We start from the raw sequence: 18,902 nt of genomic DNA on the forward strand, positions 1-18,902 counted from the left end.
CCTGGCTTTCTTCAGGAGGGGGCGCCCTGGCCCTGCCCTCTGCTTCAGCCCAGACCCGCCGGGAACACTCAGCGGTGGGCTTGAGGAAGACAGGGAGTGGCGAGAAAGGGTCGGGGACGGCAGGGGAGACCACGAACGGGAGAACTGGCAGAGGCGCAGCTCGGCACAGGCTGAACCAGGCGCGAAGGACGGCGAGGCGCCCGCACCACGTCTGAATTGATTAAAAGGGAAGCCGAAAGGCACGGGGCTCCCATGGGGACCCCAACGCAGCCTTCCCCCTGGGCGTCCTGCTCCGCCCGGCACCGTCCCTCGCCCTGGCGGAGCCATACCCGGAGGCCGCAGCCCCGCGCCAGGGCCCGGAGAGCGGCGGGCGGCCGGTGCGTGGCGGCGACTCCCTTCCAGGCGACCAGCCGCCCCCGCCCACCTGCCCCTATCGCTCGTCGGACCAGGGGAGGTGGAACGGGGAAACCGGGCACACACTCTCTCCTCCCACAGGGTGGGGAGGAAGCGCGGGGCCGCCTGTGCGAGGCACCAGCCTCGCGGTCTCACTCGGCAGCACGGTCGAGGCCACTTTCCGTTCTCCACGGCCGGGGGTTTCGGGGCGCAGCACAGACAGCGCCGTAAATAACGACCGAGGAAAGCAGGAAGGAACGAGGCACAGGCGGGCATTCTAGCTCGGCCCCCGAGGCCCAGCGTGCCGGGGCCTGGAGCACGCGCCTGGGCCCGGGCGGGGCGCCGGGGGAGCGCGCCTCCCCCAGCCCCGCGCCCCCCTTAGCCAGCGCCGGGGCTTTCTTGACAGCGCGTTCGCCCTCACCCAGCAAACCCCGGCCGGGGAAGCAGAGCCGCGGGCCGGAGTGGGAGCCGGAGCTGAGGAGAGCCCCGGCCCCCACGCGCGTGGGTGTGGGCGCTCAGGCCTCACCCCCGCTCCCCCAGCGCGCCGGGCCTGGGGCCCGCGGAGCCACCCGGTGGGCCTGGGCGGGCGGTGCAGGGCTGGGGCGAGAGCCCGGGTGGGGCCAGGCCCGGGCCCACCTGAAAGCGCCTCGATGGCCTTGAGGGCCCAGCTCTCGTCCGGGCAGTCCACGAACGCGTAGCCAGTCTTCACCAGGAAGGGTCCCGACACCGGGATCTTGGCGTCCTTGAAGATACTTTCTAGGTCCGAGGGGGCGGCGTTCTCGCTGAGGTTTCCGATATACAGTTTGTTCATTGTGAAGAGTGGTTGTTTAAAAAAAAATAACGAGAAAAAACGAAAAATTAAAACCACCCACGGTGATGGATGGATCCAGCTGGTTTTGTTCCCCTCGTCTTCTCGCCTTTAAAATACACAAACACAGTAAGAACCAAGCACAAGAACGAGGAGTGAAAAATCAGATCCGAGGCTTGTTTTTTCCTTGTCTAGATGTGTTTTAAAAGAGAAAGAAAAGAAAAAGCCTAGCTACAACCCAAACGCATCCACCAGTCTTCCTAAGTCTTAGGAGGAGGCGGGATTAGCAAGAGAAAGGAGGAGGAGGAGGGGAAAAAACTACTTTTTGTCTCTTCCTTCCCAACCCCTTTGGCTTCGGCCAGCGGACTGTGAAAATATCACACTACGTGAGGCAGGCGCCGCCTCCCCATAAAAAACCCAGAAGGGTGACTGGCAGGAGGGAGGGGAGAGGAGGAGGAGGAGGAGGGAGGAAGGCGCAGGAGGCGGAAAAAATCCGCTCCGAGTGTCCGGCTTTTTGAATGAGCCACGTGTTCAAACTACAAATCAACGTCTCACGTGAGGAATCCCAGAGCCTCAATTAGAGTGGGTTTCGGAGAAAAAAGCGAGCGAGAGGAAGAGGGGGAGGGGAAACGAGATTGGGAGAGGGACTCTGAGAAGGGGGAGGAGGAAGAAGGAAAATGCTAAAGGAACCGCAGCCGGCACCAAGCGGGGCGCTGACGGTCACAACTCGAGTTTGTAAAGGGTTATCTGGTCTGGGCGGATCCTGGGAGGGAGGGCTGGAATATTGATTTTTTTTTTTTTAATGAGGAAATGGGCAGAGGTACTAACAGGCAGTTCCTCAGCGCTAGTTACCGTAGTTTTAATCATTCGATTTTTCAAAATAGGTTATTAACAACAAAACCAGAGTCACAATCCCGAACTCGCCTGGTGGCTTTAATGGCATTAGAAGTGTAACCCCAGCAAAGCCGCAGGCACGTTTCTAAGGCTGGCATGGACGGAAATGCTGCGAGGAGGGGTGGGGGAGTGGGTGAGGGGGGCAGGGGGTGGGGGCAAGACAGGCGGGCGACGCGCCCCACCCCGTGCGCCCTTCTCGGGCCCTGGGCACCGCGCGAGTGGGGGCGGCCCGGCCCCGGAGTGGTGGGGGATGGGATCCCGCAGCGTCCTGGGCGGGTGTCTGGGCGACACCTCCTCCGCCTCCGCCTGCGCTCGCGGTGGCTCTCGGCTTCGCGTTTGCCATTGGTTGCGCGATTCAGAAAAGGCTCCAGGATAAATGAGGCCGGGGGCGGGCTTGGCCACTGGTGGGGGAGGGGAGTGCAGGGGCGGAGGTTTCTGGCTAGGGGCTGGGGTCGTCGGGGGCCTGGGCCGCTGGAGGAGAGAAGTCAAAGTGGGAAAAGTCGGTAAAGGGAAACCCTCTCTTCCTGTAGTTTTTAAAGGGGGAGGAGTGGAGTAGGCTGGTACTTTTATTTAAGTAATTTTAGTTGGAGAACTTGAGACTTAAAACTGGAAGACCGTCGTGCATTACCCCTAGGTGGTATTCGCATTTGAAAAATTGTTCGAGTCTCTTTCTGCCTCTTTTCTGCCTGGATTTGGCCATGAGAGCCATACATAATTTTCTCTATATGTAATGAGTACAATGGTGGTTGTCGGGGGAGGATTTGGGCCCGGTGGAGCCTTGTGGGCCAACAAAATGTGAACTGGAGACGAGCAATACGGAAACGAAGGCAGTGCTGGGGTTCTAGTGGAATCTCCAACTGTCGTTTAAAGATTGTGTACTCCACTCAAAGGTTTCATTTGCACCAGATACTTGTGTGTTTTTAACAGGTATATTTTTAACAGGTATTCTATTGAAAAGATAGAAAATTCTAATTTTTTAAGTGAAAGAAATTCTATATAACATGAAAATATAGACAAGAATCTTTAATGACTTGGTACTCTTACTGGTAGAAAAAAGGTATCCTGAATAGAGGAAATATTATGATTTACACTGGAAACATCTTCGGTAATTGATACAGCCTTGCTTCTCTGTCAAAACCGTTGTTAGCATTTTAAAATGTGTATTTTTCATTTAAAAGATGAATGGTAGACTTAAACATGGGAATTGTTGCATGATATAAAGAGTATTTACATTTTGTCTTTTAAAGGGAACTTACTTTGTAATTTTGTGTTAAGGAACCGGAAGGTGTCAGATCATCCATTTTAAATGCAACTGTTCTTTCTTACAGGTTTTTCTTTCCTGCCAAGCGAATCCAACATTTTAAACGTAAACACACTTTCACAATAATTTCATTCACGTTTAATTTAATAAAATGTTGTTACTTTATAAAATAGGGGGACAGACGTGTTTTTCTGTTACAGTATTTGTAACTGAATTAAGAGCTCAGCCTTGAAAGAACGTTTTGGTAAAATTTTTCTTTAAGTTTATGGTTAGGTTGAACTTTTTAAAAGCATTTTTTTCTTTTTTTAAAAATAACTTTAGTTCTAAAGAAGAAATGTATTCTTTCTTTTGGCCTCTGTGGTATGCAAAATGTAAATATCAAAAATTATGGATTTATTTTAAATGTACCTGTTGTAGAACAAAAGCCATTTGGAGAAATGTTCTACATTCATTCATTTGGTAATATTTGCACTTCTCAATACCACTGTAAATTTTACAACCTGTTGATCATTTAACACTTTTAGTAATTTTTCATAAAAACAAATTGTGTGTGTTCAGCTTGCTTCCAAAATCAATTCAACTATGGCTTCTGGGTTGACTGTATTTGCTCTTATTAAAACTGAGACCTAAGGAAATATCTACTTCTAAAGCATGGAATAAATTGTTTATTTTCCATAAATACTAGTCCATGCTTGTCTGGCACTATCAAACAAATCTAACAGCTGGAATTTAAAACAAGTGTGTGTTTTGATGAAATATGTTCCTGGGACTCCTGTTAACCTAATCTGTGTATTATTGTAACAAACTGGATAGTCCATCTAGGACCTTAAAAACATACATGAGTAATACAAGCTCAGACATCAAAGAGAGAGGTGGATACAGTCCACTCCACTTCCAGTCTTCCAAGCATTTAAGGGTTGAGTCAAAAGATCTTAGGTAGTTGTCTTGCACTAGCACTTCAAGTACAAAGATACCTTTGGTGAATTTTCAAGAATGAATATAAAATCAATTTAAGTTCCAGTTTTTTTTTTTTAATGACTCTCACACAAATCAACTGGTTATAGGCTACTTCAGCTTCTTCCTGAAGCAGTTGTAGCTCCTAATTAATGTGAACTCCACGAAGAAAGAACTCCCACCATTTTATGTGCTCTGGGATGCGGCTGAGTCTTTCCAATTGCAGTCTGTTTACTCTTTGGACAGCTGCATCTCCTCCTTATCTGCTGAACTGAGGACTGTACAAATGTTTCTTGTGGGTCAGTGTAATATTAAAGAATAGCTATGTTTAGAAGGCCAGTTACCGTTGCTGTACCCACACGTCAGGGGCAAAGGCTGAGTGGGCAGATGGGGGGCTGCCACCCCTCCTCACGCCCGGCTTGGGACCAGCCTGGAGTCTCAAGCCGAAACCCCTCACGCGGGTGGGCACACAATGCCCGGCGTGTCGCCTGGGCCTCCTCGGAGGTGCTTTAACAGGCTCTTGCGCTTTTGAACGGCCCTCCTGGACTCTGATCTGTTTAAACTAGAGGCGTTAATAAGTGATAACCTGGATCTGCCCTCCTTGGAAGCTGCCTGCCTATATTTTATTGTTTAAAATAAATAAAAATGGTGCCCCGGGAGAGAAGATGGGGTTGTTTCCTTTTTCCTCTGGCTCTGCCCCGAGAAAGAGGGCGGGATCCTCACGGCTCACAGTGGGGAGGGTCTTTCGTCGGCCGCCGGCTCGCCTCGGAGGGCCTGGACCACTGGACCGCCCTTCCCCGGGGCCCTGCCGCGGGACCGCGGGCTTCTGGCTCCTCCTGGGGCTGCGTCCGTATGCGCGGAGCGTGTGGCCGGGCCGTCGCCGCGCCACCCCACCTGAGTCCGCCGGCCAGCGCGGGGACGCACCGGGCAGCGTGTGTTTGGCGACCCTCCCGCACCTCTGGTCTCAGTTGCGTGTGTGCACGAGGGGTTCCATAGGGCCCAGGGATGCTTGGTACCCACGGGGGAGAATCCCTCGCCGAACCCTGCGGGTCTGCGGGGCGGGCCGCGAGACTGGCGCGCAAAAGCGGCTCCAAGGCGGGGCTCCCGCGCTCCCCGGGGCCGGCTTGCCGAGTCCAAGTTGAGCAACCGGCGTCGAGAGAGACACCGCCCCTGCTGCGGGCGGGGGCCTCTCCTCGCTTCCGATTGGCTGACGGGGGGAACCTATCGCCGTCGGCCGCCTCCGCCAGAGCGGTTTGCTGGTTTTCATTCATTGGCCCCGGAGCCGCCCCTGGATTTCCATCTTTTGTGGCGCGAAAATAACCCTTTGCTCCCTCGTTGGTTTTGTTGAGGTTGAGGGGTGGGACTGTGTTCCCCTCTGCTCGCTCTCGTTTTTCCTGCCCTTTAACAGCTCGCCCCCAGCCCCAACCCCCAAGGAAGAAAGAGGGAGGTAACGCTGAGGAAGGGTGGAAAGCAGTTCTGCGTCCGTGGGTGGAGCCCGCCCCTTGGCTGACCGCATGGTGCCCGCACGGTCCCTTCCCTTCCCCCAGCGTCCAGCGCCCGGAGGTTCTGGATTTGCGCCATGCTCAGCAGCTGGAGTCACATCTTCGTTTCCCTGCCCATTTCCAACATCTTAGAGTTGATGCGTCCTTTTTTACTTAAAACAACTACAACCAACCATGTTCTCAGGTACCAGAACTTTTCTGGGCTTCTAGAGAAATCGACTCGCCCTGCCCGCTCCCTTCCTAAACCCCTTTGTGGTCCACAGGGTTGTTTTAAGCAAAATCAAACAACCCCTCCAAAAAAAGCAAACGAAAAATTCCGGGTAAAATCAACTATGCTGAGACCACGTTTTCGTTGAAGCTGCCCTAAGACCAATGAAGCTGAGACCGACCTTCAAGGATTAACGATTTCTGTAGCTGAAATGTTCTAATTTCACTGACGTTTGGTGGAGACGGTGAGAAAAAATAAATATGAATTTGACTTGGAAAAGCACAAAACAAACGAAATAATAATATTTAATTTGATTAACTGAGAAGGCAAACAGCCACAGTGGTGTATTCTAGGTACTGGTGTCTTTGGTGAGTTTGTAATTATATAAATAAATTGCTGTTGGTTTCATCAAAAATACAGATCAGAACTCTGGCCGTGACAAAAAAGGAAGGAAGTATAAATTTGTTTGGTATATCTAATTTTATAACAGACTTTACCAACCTTTCATTATCTGGAGAAAAGGAAATGTACCAGTTAACAATATAAGTTAATTTGTTTGCAGATAATTGTTCATTTTTTGTCTTGACAAAATACTCTGTTTGGTTAAAAACGGTAAAATGATAATTCAGTAAATATTTAAAACTTTGAGAGAATTGGTTTAAATCAGGGAGTTCAAAGATTTTCTCTGTGTTGTTTACTCTTAGTGATGTTACATCTTGTGATGTTACATCTTCTTCTGAGTGCTTTTGAAAAAATTATTAGTTCTGTGTTAGTCTCTAAAAACTAAAGTAACATAAATTGCCATGTACCAAAATTTTAAAACAAATTTTAACAACTGAATTGGTTAGTAAAGAAAAACTACTTTAAAGTAGAAGTAATCATTAAACATATTTTATTTACATTTGTATATTTCAACTACATTTCACTAATGTGGTTGATAGTATTTTTGAACTTGTCATGTAAAATTATTCATCAGAAACATTAGAATAACTTAGAAATGGTTTGAGTTGAGTAAATTAATTAAAACTTAAGGACTGAATTTGTAGTATGCTAAAGATTATAGAGTTAATAATTTAAATAATCCTTTATCACCTAAGAAATTTAAATTGTGAAGATATGATTATTTGTGAAATGATTCTAGGTTGCAATTTATATATTCAATTATTTTTATATTTTGGAAATGATACAGTAGAAAACTATTGAGGAATTTATTAGAGAAAATTGTGATTGTAAAAAAAAAGTCAAAATTAATCATTTAGACAAGCCAAGACTCTAAAACCTGGTATATTTTTTAATGTTTTCTCAAAATCAAAGATTTATACAATCAATATTTTAAAAAAACAAACAAAAAACTGTTCTGTTTGAGAGAAACTCATTTTTTAAATTTTCAACTACTAAGTCAGGAATTGGAATTTTTATCTGGTAAACATGCATAGTTGTTAAAGTAGTAGATAAGCATGAGTACTTTTATTGGAATTATATCCTGTATTAATACTACTTCACTTAGGTGAAAACTTTAAAATACTCATTCTTCTGGAGAGGGGGTGGGAAGGATGAGACCTTCAATAAAGACTCTTTGGTGATTAGTGTGTACATATGTATTTGCAGACCAGCCATAGAAAACAGAGGGTAGGCATTTGTTTAATAGGGGTAATAGGGGGAGGGGTCTGGGGAAACTGGAAAGATTAGGGTATTTAATCTTGTTTCTTGGTTGCAACTCATTTATCCTGCAGGTTTCCTTGCTCAGTGTGGAAGGAAGAGGGTAGAGAGAGAATGTATTAACTAATGGTGTAAAATGGGAAAGTAATCCATGCATGAAATCCTACTGGAAAGAACAGTAAGAACCCACTCTCCCCACTAAAATAATCTGAAAACAAAGCACATGCTGAGGTTATGGCTAGTTTTCAGCACTCTCTAACACCTACATTTAAAAGACACATGCTAGGTTGCTGTGTTCATATTTGGACCCTTTGTTTTCTTGACCATTTCTATTCCAGAAACTAATTCCAAAAATCTCAGGAATTAAAGATTCTTTAATAAAACAGCAGATCTCATGACATATATTTACATACACATTAACTCTTTCTAGGCAGTCTTTAAGGTAAATTGATGAATGCCTCATGCTATCTATAAATGTAAAGTTAATTTTTAGATGTACTAAGGCAGAATCAATTTTACAATTCCTTACTTGCAAGATGATAATAGATCATAACCATTTCCATTTGGACTGATTAAAATTCATTCCTTCTTTATTTTAGTTTACATTTTGGTCCTAAGCTGCTCTCTAGCATGATGATCCTAGCTTTAAAGAGGGAAACAGCAGGCTAAGTAAGGGGTTTTTGTTTTTTGGTTCTAGTTCAAAAATCTCAGCTGAAGTTCATAAAGAATCTGAGCGCATAAGATAAAGTAGAGAAAAACAAAACTTAATCATCTTTCTCACAATCTACACTATAAAAAATTTGTCCTGAAATTCATGCCTAACATACTTCTACTGAAACATTGACTTCTTTTTTTATATATATAGAGGATTGTTTAAATATAAACACATGTATATTCTTAATCTGTGTATATTCTTAATCCCCAATGTGATTGTTGGCACTATCACATTGGGGATTAAGAATACACAGAGAGAGAGAGAGTTTTTCTTGCTTTTTCTCAACTGACTTAAATTTCATGATCAATTATTTCTAAGTTGACAATACTAGTGCCTTCTTAAAGGCAAAATTTTGTTTGAACTGAGGTTTAATTTAATACCAATAATTGGATCTGATTGATAATTTCCAATTCTTGATTGATTTTGTTTTGGTGGGTGGGGGAGGGGTCTTGTGTCATTCATTGAAGCAGTTTTTCTGTTTTTTAATACTTTTTTATTTGTAGGGTAAACTACTCATATATTATTTGTAACTTAAAATCTTTTTCCTAGCACTTTCCAAGACTTGAAGAATAATTTAAAAGTAACTAAATCTTACTTATAAGATTTGAATAAAGACTTTTTAAATTGTGTACAACTTAATATAAATAAATATGAAATATTTTGTGTTTTAATCATCCATTAAGCTGAAATAACTGCATGGTCCCTTTTTTATAAGTAGCCTAAATCTAATCCAGCTATTAGAAATCTAATTCATAAAAAAGATACCAACGAAGTAACAATTCATAAAAGCCAAAAAAATCAGTTTTTGTTATAACAGAAATAGATACTGTTTCTGTCATCTGGTGAACATTTTGTTATTAGACAATTAAGTACAGAATGACATTACCATGTTTTGTTTTCGTTTGTTCAAAATTGCCTAGAATTTTGTCCCTTGACTCTGTTACCATATATCTGATGGTAATTTCTTTGCTTTTGTATTTCTTTGCTACCAAGATTCAAATAATATCTTTGCTTTTCATTTAAATAAATATCTGTAAAAAGCCAAATAGAAAATAAACTGAAGCATCAAAAGTTGTAGTGTAGTACACTGTAAGTGCTTATTTCTGCAACCATAGTGATATATTCAAGTTTTATTTTAATCTCGTCAATATAGTGACTTTTTTAAAAAGATTAAATTGAATTTTGTTTTAAATATTAATTAAGCAAAAAAAAAGTCGAGTAGATGTTTTAATTCAATGAAATAGACAATAGGGCGAAAGGTAACATTACTCTGTTCCCTCAACAACAACAGATCTTCCAGTTGAGGGCAGTTTTGTCGGATATGGAATGAACTCAGTGTGTGCACTTGGACATATGAATATATGCACATATTTCTGCTGAGAAGCCCTTTAGAGAGATTAGTGAAGGAGAAAAGCAAGATAGAACTTGTGTTCAAATTCTGAGGTTGCAGGTTAAAACAAGCAAGGCAAGCACTACTTTTAAAGTGTTTTCTTAACCATCAGAATACTTCAGTATGATGTCTTTAAAGCTGGGGAGATAAGACTAACAAAACAGTATAGATTGAACTGAAATTACGATGCTACTAGTATATCACCATTAGAACTTACATCATATAAATGTGTTTTCCATTTTATGTCTTTCTATAACTCGTTTTCTATTTAAAATATATGTAGTTAGTATTATACATATAAAACATCCATCAACATTATTAAAACATGAACGTAAGCAGTTTAAAAATTGGTAGAAATAATACGGGTCACATATTTTGAAGTTAAATTTATCTCGAAAATATGAAGTTATCACAAATCCTTTCTGTTGGATTGTTCTACCACTTCTATTTGTGTACATTATCCATAATAGATACATTAATCAAAATAAGCAGTGTTATTTGAAAAAATGTCTCTATAAAAAAAGAGCTAAAGATAGATACTGGTCTGTTCTTGTCGTGAAAACAACAATGGTTTTTGAAACTTAAATAAGGAGAGAAAACTCAGATTTAAGTGAAGTGTGGGTCCTGTTATTTACTGTCTTTATTGGGGGTTAGGAGAGCTGAGATTAAACTGTAATGTTGCTTCAGGAATGACTACCAACAAAGTTTTAAGTTGCTATAAATGAAGAATATTATTTCAGTCAAATGATAGCCCCTTCCTGTTATTCTTTAAAATAATTATTTCCTTGTTTATTAAATATCCTTAAATTATTTCATTGCAAAGTGAGGGGAAGTCATATTGTATTAGGATAACCAAACATTTTAACACTTTGAGCCTCTAAATGGATGAAGAATGCCCATTGCTTTTTAAACAAACCAAAACAAAAACAAAAAAAAGTTTATCTTTGTTAAAATAAGTGATGCATTTATCTTCTTTCTTTACCTATGGCAATGTTCTGCTAACATAGTAATAAGCTGAGTTACTCTCTGGATGTGGCAATTAATAGAAATAAATATATTACAGTGAAGCACAGAGAGGATATATAAGCAAAAAAAATAAAAACATCAGATTTATGGAACTCTGGATTAAGCTAAAATTTAGAGTATCTTCTTACAACCAAATCCAGTGATCAAGCTTATAGTCTTTAAAACCTGTAACAAAGTAAAAACTTGAAAGTATTGTTAATATGCAGTTATTACTAATTATGATAAAAATCTATTTGTGGTTTTGTTTAATGTAACTATATAATATAAAATACAATTATTTTGTTTTTAAAGGTTTTTTCCCATGTTTCTTTTGAGTAAATTCAAAAACTTGAAAGTTAAACTGAGCCGGGCGCAGTGACTCATGCCTGTAATCCAAGCACTTTGGGAGGCTGAGGCAGGCGGATCACAAGGTCAGGAGATCGAGACCAGCCTGGCCAATATGGTGAAACCCCGTCTCTACTAAAAATATAAAAATCAGCTGGGTGTGGTGGCACGCACCTGTAGTCCCAGCTACTTGGGAGGCTGAGGCAGGAGAATTGCTTGAACCTGGGAAGCAGAAGTTGCAGTGAGCCATGTTGGTGCCACTGCACTCCAGCCTGGGCAACAGAGCGAGACTCCATCTCCAAAAAAGAAAAAAAGAAAGTTAAACTGAAGACTGTTAAAGTTGTTTTATAAAAATCAGATATCTGTGGATTAAAACATGGTCCTTTTCTAACTTTTCCATGAAAGCTTGGAATATAACCTATTAAAAGCTAACTGACAGCCAGGCGCAGTGGCTCACGCCTGTAATCCCAGCACTGTGGGAGGCCGAGGCAGTCAGATCGCCTGAGGTCAGGAGTTCGAGACCAGCCTGGCCAACATGTTGAAACCCCGTCTCGCCCTCCCCCCCAAGCTGTTTTTCTAGCATGTTGCCCTTTTTCAACCACATTTGTGTTTCAGGTGTAGAGAGGAGAGTGAACAGGGAGCGGGGCTTTTGTCTGTTGGTCTCCCTGGACTGAAGAGAGGGAGAATAGAAGCCAAGACTAAGATTCTCAAAATGGTTTATTACCCAGAACTCTTTCTCTGGGTCAGTCAAGAACCATTTCCAAACAAGGACATGGAGGGAAGGCTTCCTAAGGGAAGACTTCCTGTCCCAAAGGAAGTGAACTACAAGAAGAACGATGAGACAAACGCTGCCTCCCTGACTCTACTGGGCAGCAGTGAACTCCGCTCCCCAAGAATCAGTTACCTCCACTTTTTTTAATCGTAACACCTCCATTTGTATTACATACGGTGTATGGGTATTCATGAGGTCATGGTACCATATATGGGATTTTTTTCTGTGTAAATCATTAAGTATAAGAGGAAACTATGGGACTCTGAGCCTTGCTTTAGAGAATTTACAGTGGACAAATAGGTATCATCAAACCAGTTTTTAATCATTCTGACCCAAGTGAAAATGCTCAGAATTTCACACTGTGAATCCACGTTTACAACCCTTACAGGTGGGCCTTCAGGCCTGGTTCGCTACAACAATGTCTTCCACAACTCAAATTCCCACCGCGTTCACACAACCAGTGCACTCCTGCCTTTTCACTCACACAGCTCCCGACCGCTTCTTGCAGAGGCTGAGAGTCCCCCCCTTTTTCTTCATTTAGATGTAACAAACCTAGTAGTTTATGTTTATCAATTGTCTGTATATCTCTATATTTTATCCATGTACTCTTGATGTATAGACATAGTTTGAAACTCGTTTCCTTGTGGTAAGTGACCGAGATGCTGCCACAGGACCTGAGACACTGATGAATGGTGCTATTTTGGACTTTCATCATGCTCCTTGGCGAGGTAGCTCTGATGGGGTTATTTTTTATTTCCATGTTCTAAGAAGGTGTTGGTACTCTGTTTCGCTGAATGTTTTTCTCTAGACTGGATTGACTTGTTTTCCTTGTGTCTTCAGTGTGGCTTTCTTCCTCAGTGTTGTAGGTTGAGCGAATGCTACCGAAGTGTGAGAGACGATTGTCTCATTGGCTGGCACTCACGGACATGCAGTCACGGTAGCGGGAGCAATCACAAAACTGTAATTTACTTACCAAATCTCTTCCTTTCTATAGCCTCGCCTGCCTGACTTACAGAAAGAAAAGCAATAATTTTACAGGCATTTTGAGGTGTCTCTTTGGGTTCTTTCTGTTTGAAAGGATATTTGTGGAAAAAAAGAGCAAAACCTTTTTAAATAAATTCCCCCTGAAAAAAACCCAAAACACTGGCATCTGAGTAGGAATATGGAAATGACACCTTTTCCAAATATTACATTGGAAAACAATGTCTTTACAAAATCACAATACTTTTTTAAAAGGCAGAGCATTCTTTTTTTGGCAATTTTGATAAGCAAGGTATAGGTTTACATTTTTGTCCTTGCTCCCAACGAAATGGATAAACAAAAATAAAATACCATCTACTCATGGAATGTTGTTGTGTTAGCCAGTCTGAACGCCCACCTTAATTTTCATATAACTGTCTTTCAGCTCTTCTTTTGATAGGACAGCCCTTGTTCTGAACTGTTATGCTTCTGACTGTTAAACACTGATGACGCATGCACTGCACTTCTTCGTTTTCTTGCTCCCCCATTGGCCTGAGTTTCTTGTGCATTCCTCCTCTCCCTCCTTCGTTAGAATAGGTATATCAGCTGTGTAAATAGAGCAAGAAAACAGTATTCTGCATCCGTGGTATTTATGTAGAGTTGCAGTTGTGTACTGCTGAAAATGCAGGCTTTTGTAACAGTGTGATCTTTACTGATGCACTCATGACAAGTACCCAATGTATTTTAGCTATTTTAGTAGTATTTGTTCAATAAATATGCAAGCTGTTAGGTAAAAAGAAAAAAAAAAAAGAACTCTGTCTCCACTGAAAATACAAAAATTAGCTGGGCGTGGTGGCACGCACCTGTAGTCCCAGCTACTTAGGAGGCTGAGGCAGGAGAATTGCTTGAACCTGGGAAGCGGAGGTTGCAGTGAGCCGAGATCACACCATTGCAAAAAGCTCATAAAACAAGTTTTGCTGATTTTTTTTTAAAAAAAATCTTACAGGTAATGTAAGGACATTGGAGATTTTGATTGTATATGTATGTAGCTGATTAGAGGTTGGGTATTCAAACAAATTCATTTTGAAAACAATACCTTTGAAGAAAATTGCCACTTCGGCATTATCAAAGTGATTCTGCAATGTAAAATGAAGTAATAGATTCTGGATTTTGAATCCTGCTATGGACATACCGATATAAATATGCAAATATAGTCTTGTTTTCAAAAGCCAGTCTAGAGTGCATGTAGTCAAGAAATCAGACTCTGACATAAAGGGAAGTCAAAGTGTTTAAAGCACTTGTAACTGGAAAAGAACGCATAACTGGAAGGTATCTTCCAGTTACATCTACTATAGTAAATAGTACATCCATTATAGTAAATATTAGGTTACAATTTCACTAAAATATAATTTTGGTAGTTAAGATTTTATCTTTGGAAGTGTATGCTTTTAGCACTTTTTATTTAATAAAAAGAGAGATTGAGGCAATGTGTGTTACAGCCTAGTACTAGAAGACTCAGTAGGAAGATACAATATTTACCCGTTTTGTTTGTTTCTGAGACAGAGCCTTCCTCCATAGCCCATGCTGGGATGCAGTGACTTGAACACAGCTCACTGCAGCCTTGAACTACTTGACTTAATCAATCCTCCCACCTCAGCCTCCTGAGTAGCTGGGACTACAAGGCACGCACCACCATGCCCAGCTAACTTTTTTTTTTTAATACAGTGTCTATAATTATATTGCTCAGGCTGGTCTTGAACTCCTAGGCTCAAACGATCCTCTTGCCTCAGCCTCCCAAAGTGCTGGGATTACAGGTGTGAGTCACCACACCTGGCCCTATTTATATATATTCCAAATTCTTAGATACTTTGGATAAGGAAGTTTGGTGTTTGTTTGTTTTCTGTTTAATAACTAGGGGATTGTACCTTCTCTTTTACATGACTTTCAATTGAACTTGTTTCATAAAGATGTTTCTATAATTTGAAGGCGCAGGGCGCGGTGGCTCACACCGGTAATCCCAACACTTTGGGAGGCTGAGGCAGGCGGATTGCGAGGTCAGGAAATCGAGAGCATCCTGGCTAACACAGGTGAAACCCCGTCTCTACTAAAAATATAAAAAATTAGCCGGGCATAGTGGTGGGCGCCTGTGGTCACAGCTACTCCGGAGGCTGAGGCAGGAGAATGGCGTGAACCCGGGAGGCGGAGCTTGCAGTGAGCTGAGATCGGGCCACTGCACTCCAGCCTGGGTGACAGAGTGAGATTCTGCCTCAAAATAATAATAATAATAATAATAATAATAATAATTTGAAGACTAGACAGATTATTAGGGATCTACTAGATACCCATTTTACCATTGAGGCCAAGGAAGGTCAATGCAGGCAGACACACAGCTAGTTCAGTGGCAGGACCAAGATGTGTTTATCACCGAAGGACATCATAGAACAACGCAAGGTTGAAGTAAGAATAGTATGTTTTTCCTATTTTTGGTGACAAGAAAACAGACCCAAGGTGAGGTTTGCCCAGACACAAAATCATTACCTTTTTAAATAAAACGCCTACATTTATGCTTATCAGGGGTTCTGCATGTTATGGAAAGCATAAGGTTGAAAGTCTTTATGGTGGAGGAGACCTTGAAAAAAGTCATCTGCTTCACCTCAGTAACTTCAGTCAGGATCTCATTTAAACTGTCGCAAACAGGTAAAATCAGTTCACTAAAATGCTGCTAGGGAAGAAATTCCATGATTTATTTAGCCTGTGATCTCTCTCCTGTCTCTCAAAAGCTTGATTCAAGGCCCAGCTATATCAGAATCGCTAGATGACAAGGAATCTGCTTGCTTTCTTTTTTTTTTTTTTTTCTTAGACAAGATCTCACTATGTCACTATGTTGCCCAGGCTGGTCTCAAACTCCTGGCCTCGGGTAGTCCTCCTGCCTTGGCCTCCCAAAGTGCTGGAATTACAGTCCTGAGCCTCCGTGCCTCGCCAAGAAATCTGCTTTAACAGTCACCTCACACACTCCTAGTGGTAAGGTAAATTCTTCCTTATATCAAACTTGAAAAATGTTATGCTCTGGTTTACTCCAAATTACCAATTGACAGGGTTGAATTTTATTTTTGCTTCAGTGAAATATCGGAGGCTGGGCGTGGTGCCTCATTCCTGTAGTCCCAGCATTTTGAGAGGCCAAGACAGGAGGATCACTTGAGCTCAGGAGTTGGAGACCAGCCTGGCCAGCATGGTGAAACCCCATCTCTACCAAAGTACAAAAATTAGCTGGGCATGGTGCTGCGCATCTGTAGTCCCAGCTACTCCGGAGGCTGAGGTAGGAGGATCGTGTGAGCCCAGGAGTTTGAGGCTGCAGTGAGCTGAGATTGAGCCACTGTGCTCCAGCCTAGGGGACAGAGCAAGAACCTGTCTCAAAAAGAAAAAAAAAAAAAGGAAAGAGGGCACATGTCATCAGGACTTCCTGGGGCTGGGACTTCACAGGCAGCAGGCATCCTTAAATTTCAAAAATGTATTTTTAAAAAGGGGAAAAAAAGATAAATAGCAGGGGGTGGAGGGACTGTGTATTACTATTTAATATTTCTTACCTAAGTTCACATGAAGCACAAGCGTCTGATTCTAGCAGAAGGAAATCTTTTATGAAAACGTATTGTTGGCCGGGCACGGTGGCTCACGCCTGTAATCCCAGCACTTTGGGAGGCTAAGGCGGGCGGATCACCTGAGGTCAGGAGTTCAAGACCAGCCTGGCAACAACTGGCGAAACCCCGTCTCTACTAACAGTACAAAAATTAGCCAGGCGTCGTGGCAGGTGCCTGTAATCCCAGCTACCCAGGAGGCTGAGGCAGGAGAATCACTTGAACCCAGGAGGCAGGGATTGCAGTGAGCTGAGATGGTGCCACTGCACTCCAGCCTGGACGACAAGAGCAAGACTCCGTTTCAAAAAAAAAAAAAAAACGAAAGAAAATGTATTGTTTTACTTGGATTGTTGAGACAAATTTCTTATATTTGTCCAGGATGTCGGCTCGTGTTAATGGCTGGCATTAATAAGGGATTCCTCTACAGGGGATAGTTTTTTCTTTTCTTATTATTTATTTTTTTTCTGCTTTCCCCACAAACTATTACTTGGGACTCCCCCAACTCCTATCTCCTAAGGAGTTGAAGAACCACTGAGGGAATTGCAAGCCCAAGCTCTCACCCCTAACTAGATACATGAACTGAAAAGTAAGACGGTCACAGTCCTTAGCTGTGCCTTTGAATTAGAAGCTGCTTTTCAATAACTTCATTTACCTGTCAATCGGTTTGTCTTCCTTCCTAAACTGTGGATGCTGCCCTGGTGCCTGTTTTGTGTGTGCGTAGCTGATGTTGCTGTGGCCCCGGGTCAGTTTTCTTCACCTCCCGGGCCTTTGTTTCCACAGCTGTAAAAAGAGTTAAAACTACTTCTACCACCCTTTATCTTTTTCATCCCAGGAGAGCACTGAGTAGTTTTCAACAGGTATTTGTGGAATGTAGTTTTCAACAGGTATTTGTGGAATTTAGTTTTCAGAAAAAGGACTAAGACTGGGAATATCGATAAAATGATTGGACCAGTTTAGAAAGTTCTATAAAATGCGAGAGAGAAAGGGATAATTGCTTGACACTGGAAAATAATGCAGGGAGGGATATTTTGTGTCCATATAACCAGGATCAGAGACAGAGAGAAGGAAAGAAAAATTTATTCAAATAACACAGCTAGGTAACAGTTTGTGGGGAAAGCAGAAAAAAAACAAAGTATCTATCCCCTGTAAAGGAATCCCTTACTGGCCGGGCGCAGTGGCTCACGCCTCTAATCTCAGCACTTTGGGAGGCCAAGGTGGGTGGATCATTTGAGGTGAGGAGTTTGAGACCAGCTTGGCCAACGTGGTGAAACTTTGTCTCTACTGAAAAAAAAAAAAAAGAAAAAAAGAAAAAAAAATACAAAAATTAGCCAGGAGTGGCCGGGCGCAGTGGCTCACGCCTATAATCTCAGCACTTCGGGAGGCCGAGGAGGGCGGATCACGAGGTCAGGAGATCGAGGCAAGCCTGGCTAACACGGTGAAACCCCATCTCTACTAAAAATACAAAAAATTAGCCGGGCGTGGTGGTGGGCGCCTGTAGTCCCAGTTACTCAGGAGGCTGAGGCAGGAGAATGGCGTGAACCCGGGAGGCGGAGCTGGCAGTGAGCCAAGATCACGCCACTGCACTCCAGCCTGGGCGACAGAGCGAGACTCCATCTCAAAGAATAAATAAATAAATAAATTAGCCCGACATGGTAGTGGGCGCCTGTAATCCCAGCTAATCGGGAGGATGAGGCAGGAGAATCGCTTGAACCCAGGAGACAGAGGTTGCAGTGAGCTGAGATTGTGCCACTGTACTCCAGCCTGGCAACGCAGAGGTTGCAATGAACCGACACGGTGCCACTGCACTCCAGCCTGGGCGACAGAGTGAGACTCTCTCAAAAAAAAAAAAAAAGAAAAAGAAAAAATCATTTCCTCCTCTGATTTCAATTTTTTTTTTTTTTTTTTGAGATGGAGTCTTGCTCTGTTGCCCAGGCTGGAGTGCAGTGGAGCAATCTTGGCTCACTGCAACCTCCGTCTCCTGGGTTCAAGGGATTCTCCTGCCTCTGCGTCCCAAGTAGCTGGGACTACAGGCGCATGCCACCACGCCTGGCTTATTTTTGTGTTTTTAGTAGAGACGGGGTTTCACTATGTTGGCCAGGCTGGTCTCGATCTCCTGACCTCATGATCTTCCCGCCTCGGCCTCCCAAAGTGCTGGGATTACAGGCACAAGCCACTGCACCCGACCTAGATTTCAGAATTTTTAAGTGTGAATTTGATATAGCACTTTGTTTATTGCAAAATATTTATCATTTAAAAAGATTTTCACACTTGTCTCTTCCATTGGAGTCTAAACTGATTAGCAAGGTCTAATTTATCTTTGTATATAAGTAAACTACATGAAGGCAGAGTTTTTTTGGTTTATGTTGTTCACTGCCACTTTCCCAATACCTTAAATTGTGCTTGG

The 18,902-nt window shown here is 42.9% G+C and overlaps 1 protein-coding gene and 1 pseudogene across 5 annotated transcripts in view, besides 9 other annotated features; one reads left to right on the forward strand and one right to left on the reverse strand.

The window, feature by feature from the left end:
• IGF2BP3 (insulin like growth factor 2 mRNA binding protein 3) overlaps positions 1-1,585 on the reverse strand; it is a 160,283-nt gene extending 158,698 nt beyond the window's left edge. For 2 of the 5 annotated variants that reach the window (NM_006547.3, XM_011515089.3), the window contains exon 1: positions 1,030-1,585. In NM_006547.3, coding sequence (NP_006538.2) covers positions 1,030-1,204 — 175 coding nt within the window. In that variant the 5' untranslated portion in view covers positions 1,205-1,585. Of the gene's footprint in view, positions 1-329; positions 742-1,029 lie in introns of those variants that run through there. The other 3 variants (XM_047419782.1, XM_011515092.3, XM_047419784.1) reach the window with 3 other exon arrangements.
• Positions 224-803: a silencer, noted in NCBI's record as "silent region_18009". NCBI's record gives its function as "represses an Ori minimal core promoter by ATAC-STARR-seq in GM12878 lymphoblastoid cells {active_cell/tissue: GM12878}" and the evidence as "EXISTENCE:reporter gene assay evidence [ECO:0000049][PMID:35858748]".
• Positions 224-1,113: a biological region, named in NCBI's record as "H3K27ac hESC enhancer GRCh37_chr7:23508953-23509537".
• Positions 428-1,012: an enhancer, noted in NCBI's record as "H3K27ac hESC enhancer chr7:23508953-23509537 (GRCh37/hg19 assembly coordinates)". NCBI's record gives its function as "activates a minimal SCP1, AML or CMV promoter by ChIP-STARR-seq in primed H9 embryonic stem cells {active_cell/tissue: H9 hESC(primed)}" and the evidence as "EXISTENCE:reporter gene assay evidence [ECO:0000049][PMID:30033119]".
• Positions 844-1,113: a silencer, noted in NCBI's record as "silent region_18010". NCBI's record gives its function as "represses an Ori minimal core promoter by ATAC-STARR-seq in GM12878 lymphoblastoid cells {active_cell/tissue: GM12878}" and the evidence as "EXISTENCE:reporter gene assay evidence [ECO:0000049][PMID:35858748]".
• Positions 2,164-2,503: a silencer, noted in NCBI's record as "silent region_18011". NCBI's record gives its function as "represses an Ori minimal core promoter by ATAC-STARR-seq in GM12878 lymphoblastoid cells {active_cell/tissue: GM12878}" and the evidence as "EXISTENCE:reporter gene assay evidence [ECO:0000049][PMID:35858748]".
• Positions 2,894-3,003: an enhancer, noted in NCBI's record as "active region_25727". NCBI's record gives its function as "activates an Ori minimal core promoter by ATAC-STARR-seq in GM12878 lymphoblastoid cells {active_cell/tissue: GM12878}" and the evidence as "EXISTENCE:reporter gene assay evidence [ECO:0000049][PMID:35858748]".
• Positions 4,568-4,837: an enhancer, noted in NCBI's record as "active region_25728". NCBI's record gives its function as "activates an Ori minimal core promoter by ATAC-STARR-seq in GM12878 lymphoblastoid cells {active_cell/tissue: GM12878}" and the evidence as "EXISTENCE:reporter gene assay evidence [ECO:0000049][PMID:35858748]".
• Positions 5,008-5,187: a silencer, noted in NCBI's record as "silent region_18012". NCBI's record gives its function as "represses an Ori minimal core promoter by ATAC-STARR-seq in GM12878 lymphoblastoid cells {active_cell/tissue: GM12878}" and the evidence as "EXISTENCE:reporter gene assay evidence [ECO:0000049][PMID:35858748]".
• Positions 5,668-5,717: an enhancer, noted in NCBI's record as "active region_25729". NCBI's record gives its function as "activates an Ori minimal core promoter by ATAC-STARR-seq in GM12878 lymphoblastoid cells {active_cell/tissue: GM12878}" and the evidence as "EXISTENCE:reporter gene assay evidence [ECO:0000049][PMID:35858748]".
• LOC389473 (chromosome 5 open reading frame 13 pseudogene) lies at positions 11,735-13,660 on the forward strand (annotated as a pseudogene).

The sequence above is a fragment of the Homo sapiens genome, chromosome 7 (assembly GCF_000001405.40).
Source record: "Homo sapiens chromosome 7, GRCh38.p14 Primary Assembly".
Classification (NCBI taxonomy): domain Eukaryota; kingdom Metazoa; phylum Chordata; class Mammalia; order Primates; family Hominidae; genus Homo; species Homo sapiens.